This window comes from Homo sapiens, chromosome 6 (genome assembly GCF_000001405.40).
Source record: "Homo sapiens chromosome 6, GRCh38.p14 Primary Assembly".
Lineage (NCBI taxonomy): Eukaryota > Metazoa > Chordata > Mammalia > Primates > Hominidae > Homo > Homo sapiens.
Window position 1 is genome coordinate 73,616,248 of NC_000006.12, and position 13,076 is coordinate 73,629,323.

Sequence of the window (13,076 nt, forward strand, 5' to 3'; positions counted from 1 at the left end):
ACTTCATGGTCCTAGTCCTATCAGAGCCCTCTTCCTCCCCCCTTAAATAAGCATTAACCTCGTTTTGGTGTATAGTAATCATGTACTCACTTTTATTTATAGTTACATCACCCAAATGTACATCCCTAGACACTTCGATTTAGTCTTGGCCATTAAAATTTTTTTGATTTGCCTTTTATGTCTCTTTAAATCTGTAAGTTCCCTTCCATTCATTTTTTTCTTACAATTTATCTATTTCTTAAAATTTATCGGTGCCCAGTAAAACAATAACTCAAAAGTGCATTACATGTTTATTTACTACACACACACACACACACACACACACACACACACGTTTATTTTTAACAGAACTGGAGAGTCTTTTTTTTTTTTTTCTTTTGAGACAGAGTCTTGCTCTGTTGCCTAGGCTGGAGTGCAGTGGCGTGATCTTGGCTCATTGCAACCTCCACCTTCTGGGTTCCAGCAATTCTCCTGCCTCAGCCTCCTGAGTAGCTACGATTGCAGGCGTGTGTCACCACGCCCGGCTAATTTGTATTTTTAGTAGAGACGGAGTTTCGCCATGTTGGCCAGGCTAATCTCGAACTCCTGACTTCAAGTGATCTGGCCGCCTCAGCCTCCCAAAGTGCTGGGATTACAGGGATGAGCCACCGCGCCTGGCCTCTGAGAGTCTTTCCTGATGGTTTCTTTTCCCTCATTTTTCGCGTCCAATCATCAAGCATTGCCTATTCTACTTCCCTTAAACAAACAAACAAAAAAAGCTTGGCTGGGCACAGTGGCTCATGCCTGTAATCCCAGCACTTTGGGAGGCCGCGGAGGAAGAATCACTTGAGGACGGGGCTCAAGACCAGCCTGGTCAACATGGCAAAACCCTGTATCTACTAAAAATACAAAAAATTAGCTGGGCATCATGATACATGACTGTAATCCCAGTTACTTGGGAGGCTGAGGCAGAAGAATCGCTTGAACCTGGGAGGTGGAGGTTGCAGTGAACCAAGATTGCTCTGGTGCAGTCAGTCCAGCATGGGTGACAGAGCAAGACTCTGTCTCAGAAAGAAAAAAAACAAAAAAAAGAAAAAAAAACACAATTCCATTTAGACTTCTGCACGGTGGGATCACATCTATCATTATTTGTGGCAAAATCCTGTATAAGAATAAATGGTTTCAAAATATTAGTAGGAAAGTAAAAAAGAATAAGCTGTAGTAAATCAGATAAGTGAATTTTCTGATCTTGATTTTGTTTCCTGGTGGGATAAGGTTGATAATTCCTCACAGTTAGTAATATTGCCACTTCAAGTTGCAATGCTAAAAACTGCCGGCTAGGCACGGTGGCTCATGCCTGTAATCCCAGCACTTTGGGAGGCCAAGGCAGGCAGATCACCTGAGGTCAGCAGTTTGAGACCAGCTTGGTGAACATGGTGAAACCTCATCTCTACTAATAATACAAAAATTAGGTGTGGCGGTGGATGCCTGTAATCCCAGCTACTAGGGAGGCCGAGGCAGGAGAATCGCTTGAACCTGAGAGGCGGAGGTTGCAGTGAGCCAAGATTGCGCCACTGCGCTCCAGCCTGGGCAACAACCTAAATACACTAAAGTCTTCAGCATTTATACATTCCACAGGCACCTTCCACAGTTGTTAAGTTTTCTCTTCAAGGATAAGATCCCTTGTATTCATTTATTTAAAAAAATTGATTCCAATTTTTTTGCAGGCGCATTGGCTCACGTCTGTAATCCCAGCCCTTTGGGAGGCCAAGGCAAAGGGATCACTTGAGGTCAGGAGTTTGAGACCAGCCTGGCCAACATGGTAAAACCCTGTCTCTACAAAAATAAAAAATTTAGCCAGGTGTGGTGGCACACACCTGAAATCTCAGGTACTTGGGAGGCTGACAGAGGAGAATCGCTTGAACCCGGGAGGTGGAGGTTGCAGTGAGCTGAGGTCGTACCACTGAACTCTAGCCTGGGCAACAGAGCAAGACTCAGTCTTAAAATAAAATAAAATGAAATAAAATAAAATAAAATAAAATAAAATAAAATAAAATAAAATAAAATAAAATAAAATAAAATGAGTTTCTGGTTGTGACGACCTACCGACGAGAACACACCTCTTGCAAAAAATTTCCTTCATCCCTCTCCAGAAGAGGAGAAGAGGAAACACAAGAAGAAATGCCTGGTGCAGAGCACTAATTCCTACTTCATGGATGTGAAGTGCCCAGGACGCTATAAAATCATCACGGTCTTTACTCATGCACAAACAGTAGTTTTGTGTGTTGGGTGCTCTACTGTCCTCTGCCAGCCTACAGGAGGAAAAGCAAGGCTTATGGAAGGATGTTCCTTCAGGAGGAAGCAGCACTAAGAGCACTCTGAATCAAGATGAGTGGAAAACCATCTCTATAAACACATTTTAGATAAAAGATTTAAAAAAATGAGAGATATGTGACTCTTGCTTTCACTTGAATACTTGCAGGCCATCGTAGGGTTATTTATTTTGTTTTTCTGTACAGACGGAGTCTTGCTCTGTCACCCAGGCTGGAGTGCAGTGGTGTGATCTTGGCTCACTGCAACTTCTGCCTCCCAGGTTCAAGGAATTCTCCTGCCTCAGTCTCCCGAGGTGCTGGGATTACAGGCACGAGCTGCCATGCCTGGCTAACTTCTTTTGTATTTTAGTAGAGATGGGATTTCACCGTGTTGCTCAGGCTGGTCTCGAACTCTTGAGCACAGGCAATCCGCCCGCCTCGGCTTCCCAAAGTGCTAGGTGCGTGAGCCACTGCGCCCGGCCACTGTAGGGTTATTAACCAGCCTAATTTCAATATTGTTGTGTCTCAGGGAATAGGGAAGCTCAAGGAGAAGGAAAGAGATGGGGTAGTGGCTGGTTGGCAGAGCCGTCAGAAGACACTCAACATTTATTAAGTTTGCCATCTTATATGGGGAAGGATTATGGTGCCCCCCAACAATTACAACACTAACTTCAAAGATCAAGAGCCCTGAAGTGAGCACATGCTGTTGGAAAAATGGTGCTAACGGATTTGCTCCATGCAGGGTTAGCACAAATCTTCAATTCATAAAAAATACAATATTTGCAGAGTATAATAAAGCAAAGTGCAATAAAAGGAGGCATGCCACGCTTCTCAAAGCAAGCTTATTTTGAACAAAGGCCATCTGATGGCCAGGCAGGGTGGTTCATGCCTGTAATCCCAACACTTTGGGAGGCTGAGGCAGGAGGATCATTTGAGCTCAGGAGTATGAAACCAACCTGGACAATAATGGGAAACCCCATCTCTACTATTTAAAAAAAACAAAAACAAAAACACCTAGGCCATTTCATGAATGTAACACATTGATTTTCAAGAAAAAAAATCAATTAAAAAATAGGCTATATAATTATAGAATTATTTTCAAACTCTATTCACATTTCTTTTTATTTTACAGAATGAAAGAAGGTCCTATATTCACATTTCTTTTAATTTTAATTAAGATAAACCTTTTTGTCTATGAAAATGCAAGATAAAAGATCCTTGTTTTAAAGTACACAACATTAATTACTGGCCAGCTATTGATATTTTATTTCTTCCATATATAGTTCTTCCTGGAAAATCTCAAATAGAAACATCAGTGTAGTAATCTTTAAATATACTTTATAAGTAAAATAAGATATTTTGTTAATATGATTTTGAGAATTTGTTTTTTTTTTTTTTTTTTTGAGATGGAGTCTTGCTCTGTTGCCCAGGCTGGAGTGCAATGGCATGGCCTCAGCTCACTGCAACCTCTGCCTCCTGGGTTCCAGTGATTCTCCTGCTTCAGCCTCTCGAGTAGCTAGGACTACAAGTGCCTGCTACCATGCCTGGCTAATTTTTATATTTTTAGTAGAGATGGGGTTTCACATGTTGGCCAGGCTGGCCTTGAACTCCTGACCTCAAGTGATCCACCCACCTCGGCCTCCCAAAGTGCTGGTATTACAGGTGTGAACCACTGGGCCCGGCTGGATTTGCTATTTTTAATCTTCCTGTGGATCTCAGTTTTACCCCAAATGATAATTACCAAATTAACCTTTCAATGCACAGTTGAATGCAATTAATCACTGTAGTAGTATATTATTTATTTCTTTCTTTTTTAAAAATCAGCCCCACTTTATAGTTGAAATGTAGTAGTAGATTATAATCAGGCTCTGTTAACAGAGAACTTGGGAAAAATAAGATTGCTCACAATGAATCCATCCCATTATGTTGCCAAAGCCTAGTTTCAATTTAACTTCTGTCAGTGCAATTTGTGGAAATATTTCTATATAGTGATCTTGTTTTTCAGAAGTAGACAGAGGAGTTCTTCACAGCTTAGCTGCCTGAAGTTTTAAGGTTTGGTCCACATAGCCAGGCCAATGTTTATGGTATACTTTGGAATGTGAGTGACTGAGGATTCACTTTAATAGTTTTTAAAGCAGGTAAGTCCATGTAGCCAGTGCAGTTGTGCAGTCAGCCTTGTTAGCATTTTTTTTTTTTTTCCTGGGACAGAGTCTTGTTCTGCTGCCCAGGCTGGAGTGCAGGGGCATGACCTCAGCTCACTGCAACCTTCGCCTCCTGGGTTCAAGAGATTCTCGTGCCTCAGCCTCCCTAGTAGCTGGGATTACAGGTGTAGGCCACCATGCCCGGTTAATTTTTTTGTGTGTTTTTAGTAGAGACGGTTTTGCTGTATTATCCAATCTGTATTATCGAACTCCTGGGCTCAAGCAGTCCTTCTGCCTCAGCCTCCCAAAGTGCTGGGATTAATTATTATTATTATTATTTTTTGAGATGGAGTTTCACTCTTGTTGCCCAGGCTGGAGTGCAATGGCTTGATCCTGGGTCACCACAATTTCCGCTTCCCGGGTTCAAGCAATTCTCCTGCCTCAACCTCTCGAGTAGCTGGGATTACAGGCATGCACTACCACGCCTGGTTAATTTTGTATTTTTAGTAGAGATGAGGTTTCTCCATATTTGTCAGGCTGGTCTCAAACTCCTGACCTCAGGTGATCCGCCTGCCTTGGCCTCCCAAAGTGCTGGGATTATAGGCGTGAGCGACCGCGCCTGGCCTTTTTTGTATTTTTAACAGAGACAGGGTTTCACCATGTTGCCCGGTCTGGTCTCAAATGCCTGGCCTCAAGTAATCCACCTGCCTCGACCTCCCAAAGTGGTAGGATTGCAGGCGTGAGCCACTACACCCGGCCTGATGTCGGGCATCCTTACATGTGCTTATTGGCCATCTGTGTATCTTTGGAGAAATGTGTATTCGTATTCAAGTCCTTTGCCCATTTTAAAAACTGAGTTGTCTTTTTATTATTGAATTGTAAGAATTCTTAATATGTCTGGATACTAGACCCTTATTAGATGTTTGATTTATAAATGCTTTCTCCCATTCAGTGGGTTGTTTTTCATTTTCTTAATAGTCCTTTGATGTATAAGAATCTCTAAAATTTAGGACAGCAGAGTAAAATGGAAGATACAGAATAACTGAATTTTATACAGATGAGAACAAATTCTGTGTATGGTCTTATACTATATATATAAGAAGCAGATGATTATTTTTTCTTACCTCTTGAACATTGAACCTTAGGATCTCCTTCATATAAGTAGGCAATAATGTCAATAAAGTATAAAAAGTCCAGTTGTAAGAAAAGTGTGCAACTACGATAGCCCAAAGTGGCAGGGATTTTAAAATGGGTACCCACGGCACTGACTTCTGTGAAGAAAGCTGAAGAAAACAGGAATAATTAGGATAAACTACGGCTATGTTAATGCTTAGATCTGTACCGTATCAGCTAAAACTCTATCCAGAATTCATACAGAATATCACCTTAATTAGTAAACTCCAAATTTTTAAATCAACTCCTTTGAAATATTAAATAGCAAAATACATGATAAATATTTAGTTGTTTGATTTTTTAAAAAATATATTAACTAGAAAGTCCATGATTCAGATTAGAGGAAAAAGTAAAAATGTATTCGTAGAGCTATAATGTCAACCCTAAACATTCTTTATGAATGTCAGAAGTCACCTGCAGCATTGATTTATCTATTTCTTTCTTTCTTTTTTTTTTTTTTCTTTTTTGAGACAAGTTTCACTCTTGTTGCCCAGGCTGGAGTGCAATGGCACAATCTCGGCTCACTGCAACCTCTGCCTCCTGAGTTCAAGTGATTCTCCTGCCTCAGCCTCCCAAGTAGCTGGGATTATAGGCATACTCCACCAGGCCTGGCTAATTTTTGCATTTTTAGTAGAAACGGGGTTTCACCATGTTGGTTAGGCTGGTCTTGAACTCCTGACTGCAAGTGATCCGACCCAAAGTGCTGGGATTACAGGCGTGAGCCACCGTGCCCGGCCTGAATTCTCTATTTCTAAAATATAGTTTCACGGTCAGATTCAGAGGTTGACATAAGGATAAAGGAAAGAGATTGGAAGGTCCTGTTAGAATTCATGTTTAATTATCCAATCTTTATTCAATTGAAATGATTTATAAAAATTAGGCAATACAAGGTTTCTGTATGCAGCCATATGCAGTAGTGGTCTTTAAAGCAGGGTAAAAGCACCATAGGGGTATGCAAGATGATCTGTTGGGGTGAGGAAAGACATATTTCTATTTATTTCCATTTTTACTCATTTTTATTATAAAAATAAAAAAACACACTCTATTAATATTTAATAAATATGTTGGCCCTGGAGTATGTCAGGTGATTACAAATCGTATGAGTCCCCCAATTCAGAGAGGTTAATAATGGCATCCTCACTTGTTTGTTTGCCCTCAGAGTATTATAGCATATTGCAGTTTAAGTACTATTTTATTTTATTTTAAGAGAGTCTTGCTCTGTCACCCAGGCTGGAGTGCAGTGGCATGATCTCGGCTCACTGCAACTTCTGCCTCCCCACTTCAAGTCGGATTCTCCTGCCTCAGCCTCACGAGTAGCTGGGACTATGGGCATGCACCACCATGCCTGACTAATTTTTGTATTTTCAGTAGAGACAAGGTTTCACTATGTTGCCCAGGCTGGTCTCGAACTCCTGACCTCAGGTGATCCACCTGCCTTGGCCTCCCAAAGTGTTGGGATTACAGGCGTGAGCCACTGCACCTGGCCTATGTATTTTTTTTTGAGATGGAGTCTTGCTCTATTGCCCAGGCTGGAGTGCAGTGGTGCAATCTCAGCTCACTGCAACCTCTGCCTCCCGGGTTCAAGCAATCTCCGGCCTCAGCCCCCCAAGTAGCTGGGATTACAGGTGTGCACCACCACATCTGGCTAATTTTTGTATTTTAGTAAAGGCGGGGTTTCATCATGTTGGCCAGGCTGGTTTCGAACTCCTGACCTGAAGTGATCTGCCTGCCTCAGCCTCCCAAAGTTCTGGGATTACAGGTGTGAGCCACTGCCCCCAGCGTAAGTGATTTATTTTAAGTGTCTTTTATTTTTATTTATTTATTTATTTATTTATTTATTTATTTATTTATTTATTTATTTTTGAGATGGAGTCTCGCTCTGTTGCTCAGGCTGGATTGCAGTGGCGCGATTTCGGCTCACTGCAACTTCTCTCTCCCAGGTTCAAGTGATTCTCCTGCCTCAGCCTCCTGAGTAGCTGGAATCACAGGCACGTGCCACCATGTCTGGCAAATGTTTTGTATTTTTAGTAGAGACAGAGTTTCACCGTGTTAGCCAGGATGGTCTCGATCTCCTGACCTCGTGATCTGTCCGCCTCAGCCTCCCAAAGTGCTGGGATTACAGGCGTGAGCCACCGTACCCGGCTGAGCTGCCACTTTTCTTGATGAGTCCTTTGTCAACTACTTCGCCAAGCAAAATAATGGCAGATCATTAACTATAACATAGTCAAACACATTGCTCCCTTTAAATATTATTATATCAACAAATTATGGCTGGGCATGGTGGCTCACACCTGTAATTCCAGCACTTTGGGAGGCCGAGGCGGGCAGATAACTGGAGGCCAACAGTTCGAGACCAACCTGGGCAACATGGTGAAACCCTGTCTCTACTAAAAATACAAAAATTAGCCGGGTGTGGTGGTGCGCAGCAGTAATTCCAGCTGGTTAAGAGTCTGAGGCATGAGAATTGCTTGAACCCGGGAGGTGGAGGTTGCAGAGAGCTGAGATCACGCTACTGCACTCCCGCCTGGGCGACAGAGCGAGACTCTGTCTCAAAAAATAAAAACAACAAATTATTTGTAATTTTTAAGTTATAGCAAAGAAGTTTTTTTCTATTAAGATGTAAATTTTATGTATATTCTGTTTATTTCATCTATCAATCCTTTAAAAAGTCTATTTCTGTATATATTTTATGATATACATAAGTATCATAGTACATATAGATAACTTAAGAATAAATATACGGCCAGGCGTGGTGGCTCATGCCAGTAATCCCAGCACTTTGGGAGGCCGAGGCAGGCGGATCATGAGGTCAAGAGATCAAGACCATCCTGGCCAACATGGTGAAACCCCGTCTCTACTAAAAATACAAAAATTAGCTGGATGTGGTGGCGCGACCTGTAGTCCCAGCTACTTGGGAGGCTGAGGCAGGAGAATCGCTTGAACTCAGGGAGCGGAGGTTGCAGTGAGCTAAGATCACATCACTGCACTCCAGCTTGGCGACAGAGCAACACTCTGTCTCAAAAGAAAACAATATATATATATACATTCAGATTGTGAGCCTCCCACCTGTTTATTGATTCTTGCATGATCAAGAAAGCTTGGATACCACTGATATTTAGGGCATCAGATTTTTATATTTTCTATACGCTAAGACTGTTGTTTTTCTCAAAAGCAAGAGCAATCTATGTTTCTGCCTTCAGAGTTCACAGTTGCTGTTATTTTAAAAAGAGGAAGAACCAGTATTGCCCAACCTTCTTCTGGCCTTTTTCATATGGACTTTTTACTTGACATCTTTGTAGATATGCTCTTGTGTTTTTTAATTACAAATTTTAAAAAATTATTATTTATTTATGAGATGGAGTCTTGCTCTGTTGTCCAGGATGGAGTGCAGTGGCGCGATCTTGGCTCACTGCAACCTCTGCCTCTGAGGTTCAAACGATTCTCCTGCCTCAGCCTCCCGAGTAGCTGGGATTATAGGCACCCGCCACCACCCCTGGCTGATTTTTGTATTTTTAGTAGAGATGGGGTTTCACCATATTGGCCAGGCTGGTGGTGAACTCTTGACCTCAGGTGATCCGCTAGCCTCGGTCTCCCAAAGTGCTGGGATTACAAGCGTGAGCCAGTGAGCCATTGCGCTTGGTTGTATTTTTTAATATGATCAAAGATGTACAGATATAGGGAAAGAGAAGGAGAGAGAACATTGATTCTTTTACAGCAGTGGTTTTCAACTCCAGCTATACTTTACAATTATAGGGGCCTGTGTTCTACTCTCTGCCTATTGAATAAACAAAACAAAAACAAGTAAGGCAAAAAAACTCTGAGTGTAGGGCCAAGGAATCTAAGTTTTAAAAGGCTTCACTGGTGATTCTATAGAGCAGTGGGTTCCCAAACTTTGCTGCATATAAGAATCACCCAGGGGAGCCTTAAAAACACTGAGACCAAGGTCACACCACAGACCAATTGAATAGGTTGTGGGTGGGTGGGAGGTAAGTATCCCTAGTTTTTGAAGATCCCTGGGTGATTTCAATGTGCAGCAAGTTTGGGACCCACTGCTGTAGAGATCAGATTTTAAAAAGTCTGCCCTTATCCTTCTTGATTGAAAAGCTCAGGGCAGAGAGGATTTTAGAGTTTGAAGGAATTTGGAACATAGCTCTTTTTATATGGCTTTGAAATCCACAAAGGAAGTGAAATCATTCTTTTATGCTGAAAGGTACAAGTGTAAATGTATTTGATCTCTGAAAACTGAATGTATTCTGAAGAATGTACCCTACCTCTTGGAAACATAACCTGAAATAAGAAATATTTAATTTTAGTCACACTGGTATGTTTTCACAACCTATAAATATCAATTGAGTTTTTGATAATCTGATGTTTTTGAACAATCACCCAACCAAGATGAGCTGTATGTCTAACACATAAGCCCTTCACATGGCAGGTTCTCAATAGCTGCTTATCAAACGAATACAAGGCTCACAGGGTTAGAGGCTTAGAAAGAAGAATGTGAAATGTATGTATTCCAGCTTAGTGTTCATTTGTAATCTAGGTACAACACAACAGTTTTCTGTTCTCCCAATATGAATTGTAAGATCAACTTATAGTATTTCCACATTACAAGTTATATTTCAGGGGGAAAGTCTTCATTTATAAAAACTTTCAAGTTAAAGATGAATTTTCAAATGTTACTAGGAGAAACTATCCGCGTATCTAGCAGACATTTATAAAAAAATCCTTCAAGAGTTTAAGGTAGTGCTGTCCAGTAGAACTTTCCATGATGATGGAAATGTTTTATATGCACATTGTCCACAGGGTAACCAGTAGTTACATGTGGTTATTAAATCTTGTCCTTCTAACAGGTTGATGAAAGAAAATGAAGTGAAACAAAACCCTTGTCATATGTGTGACATATGTGTGACTGAATAACTAAATTTTTTTATTTTTAGATGGAGTCTTGCTCTGTTGCCCAGGCTGGAGTTCAGTGGAGCGATCTCGGCTCACTACAACCTCCGCCTCCTGGGTTCAAGTGATTCTCCCACCTCAGCCTCCCGAGTAGCTGGGATTATAAGCACTCACTGTCATGCCTGGCTAATTTTTGTATTTTGGTAGAGATGGGGGTTTCACTAAGTTGACCAGGCTGGTCTTGAACTCGTGACCTCAGGTGATCCACTCACTTTGGCCTCCCAAAGTGCTGGGATTACAGGCGTGAGCCACCACGCCTGGCCAGAACTAATTTTTTTTTTTTTCTTGAGACGGAGTCTCGCTCTGTCGCCAGGCTGGAGTGCAGTGTCGTGATCTCGGCTCACTGCAACCTCCACCTCCCAGGTTCAAGTGATTCTCTTGCCTCAGCTTCCTGAGTAGCTGGGACTACAGGCGCGTGCCACTATGCCTGGCTAATTTTTGTATTTTTAGTAGAGATGGGATTTCACCATGTTGGCCAGGATGGTCTCTATCTGTTGACCTCGTGATCTGCGTGCCTCAGCCTCCCAAAGTACTGGGATTACAGGTGTGAGCGACCGTGCCTGGCCAAAACTAAATTTTTAATTAAATTAGTTAAATTAAAAATATAACAGCCACGTGGAGCTAGTGGCTACCATACTGGACAACACAAGGTTGGGCTTAAGAAGGTACAAAACAGCTTTTTTTGATGTTCTGGATCTAGAAATTATTCTCTTGCTATTGTTTCTAACACACTACTATCTTGCCAATCAAGCAATGTAAACACATACTCTCGATGGCTTCATCATATCTAATTGTTGGCAAAAAATTAAAAATTATGAAAGCATTTTTTTTTTTTTTTGAGAAGGAATCTCACTCTGTTGCCCAGGCTGGAGTGCAGTGGCACGATCTCAACTCACTGCAGCCTCTGCCTCCCAGGTTCGAGCAATTCTCCTGACTCAGCCTCCTGAGAAGCTGGGATTATAGGCACCTGCTACCACACCCGGCTAATTTTTGTATTTTTAGTAGAGACAGGGTTTCACCACGTTGGCCAGGCTTGTCTAGAACTCCTAACCTCAGGCGATCCACCTGCCTCAAAAGTGCTGGGATTACAGGCGTGAGCCACTGTGCCTGCCACTTTTTTTTTTTTTTTTGAGACAGGGTTTCGCTCTGTCGCACAGGCTGGAGTGCAGAGGCGCGATCACGGCTACTGCAACCTCAACCTCCTGGGCTCTAGTGATCCTCTCACCTCAGCCTCCTGAGTAGCTGAGACTACAGGCATGTGCCACCACACCGGGTAATTTTTAAATTTTTTGTAGAAATGGGGTCTCCCTATGTTGCCCAGGCAGGTCTCTAACCCCTGGGTTCAAGTGATCCTTCCACCTAGGCCTCCCAAAGTGATCGGATTACAGGCATAAGTCACTGCACCTGGTCCTGAAAGTTCCTATTAGAGGGCTACATTATTCTAAAATACCACTGCTGATAAAAGAAAATACATATGCGTGGCTGGGCGTGGTGGCTCACACCTGTAATCCCAGCACTTTGGAGGCCAAGGCAGGCGGATCACTTGAGGCCAGGAGTTCGAGACCAACTTGGCCAACACAGTGAAACCCTGGCTCTACTAAAAATATAAACAATTAGCCGGGAATGGTGATGCGTGCATGTAATCCCAGCTACTCGGGAGGCTGAGGCATGAGAATCGCTTGAACCCGGGAAGCAGAGGTTGCAATGAGCTGAGATAGTGCCACTGCTCTCCAGCTTGGGGAACAGAGGGAGACTCTGTCCTCCCCACCCCCACCCCCCAAAAAGGAAAATACATACAGGCAAAAAAATTTAAAATTGCTCAGATCATTTGCTCAGCCAACATTTTGAAAGCAAATATACTTTGGAGATTTAAATGATAATGGAATTTGTGAAGGAAAAATCAATGAGATCCTGAATCTTGTATTCAGAATGTATCATCGAATTTCTAATAATAGCTCAATCAACTTTTTTTCCATATAAGTTGAAACAGAAAAGGACAAACTATAAAAATTATTTGTCATGAAATGTGTGAAATATAGAGGGTAAGATCACTCGACAAATACTTGAATATATTCTAATATGCCATTTAAAAAAAATTTTTCTTGTCAAATGCAAGTAACAGCAAATTGATTTAGCAAAGTTACATGTAAAAAATGCTCTTAATTTCTGTCTTAATTTGACAACTAAATATTCAAACCAAGGTCCCCATTTGATTTGCTTCGCAATGCTGCAAAATTGTATACTCTTCCTAAAAGGCATAAAGGAGAAGTAAAACAGTTACAAAACATGCTATCTTCAGGCTGGGCATGGTGGCTCATGCCTGTAATCCCAGCACTTTGGAGGCTGAGGCAGGCAGATCACTTGAGTTCACAAGTTCAAGACCAGCCTGGGCAACATGGCAAAACCCTGTCTCTACAAAAAATACAAAAATTAGCCAGGCTTTGTGGTACACACCTGTCGTCCCAACTACTTGGTAGGCTGAGGTGGGAGGATGGCTTGAACCCGGGAGGCAGAG

At 42.0% G+C, this 13,076-nt stretch overlaps 1 protein-coding gene and 1 pseudogene across 11 annotated transcripts in view, besides 2 other annotated features; one reads left to right on the forward strand and one right to left on the reverse strand.

Annotated features, from left to right (window-relative positions):
* The window catches only part of SLC17A5 (solute carrier family 17 member 5), a 60,614-nt gene that overhangs the window by 22,869 nt on the left and 24,669 nt on the right, over positions 1-13,076 (reverse strand). For 10 of the 11 annotated variants that reach the window (NM_001382636.1, NM_001382629.1, NM_001382632.1 and 7 more), the window contains one exon: positions 5,557-5,715. The exons of the other annotated variant lie outside the window; for it this stretch is intronic. In NM_001382636.1, the coding sequence (NP_001369565.1) occupies positions 5,557-5,715 (159 nt within the window). The remainder of the gene's footprint in view (positions 1-5,556; positions 5,716-13,076) is intronic. 11 annotated transcript variants of the gene reach the window in all.
* RPS27P15 (ribosomal protein S27 pseudogene 15) lies at positions 2,065-2,407 on the forward strand (annotated as a pseudogene).
* Positions 3,169-3,397: a silencer, noted in NCBI's record as "fragment chr6:74329139-74329367 (GRCh37/hg19 assembly coordinates)". NCBI's record gives its function as "represses an EF-1alpha promoter that drives an FKBP-Casp9 reporter gene in an ReSE screen in K562 erythroleukemia cells {active_cell/tissue: K562}" and the evidence as "EXISTENCE:reporter gene assay evidence [ECO:0000049][PMID:32094911]".
* Positions 7,503-7,680: a silencer, noted in NCBI's record as "fragment chr6:74333473-74333650 (GRCh37/hg19 assembly coordinates)". NCBI's record gives its function as "represses an EF-1alpha promoter that drives an FKBP-Casp9 reporter gene in an ReSE screen in HepG2 liver carcinoma cells {active_cell/tissue: HepG2}" and the evidence as "EXISTENCE:reporter gene assay evidence [ECO:0000049][PMID:32094911]".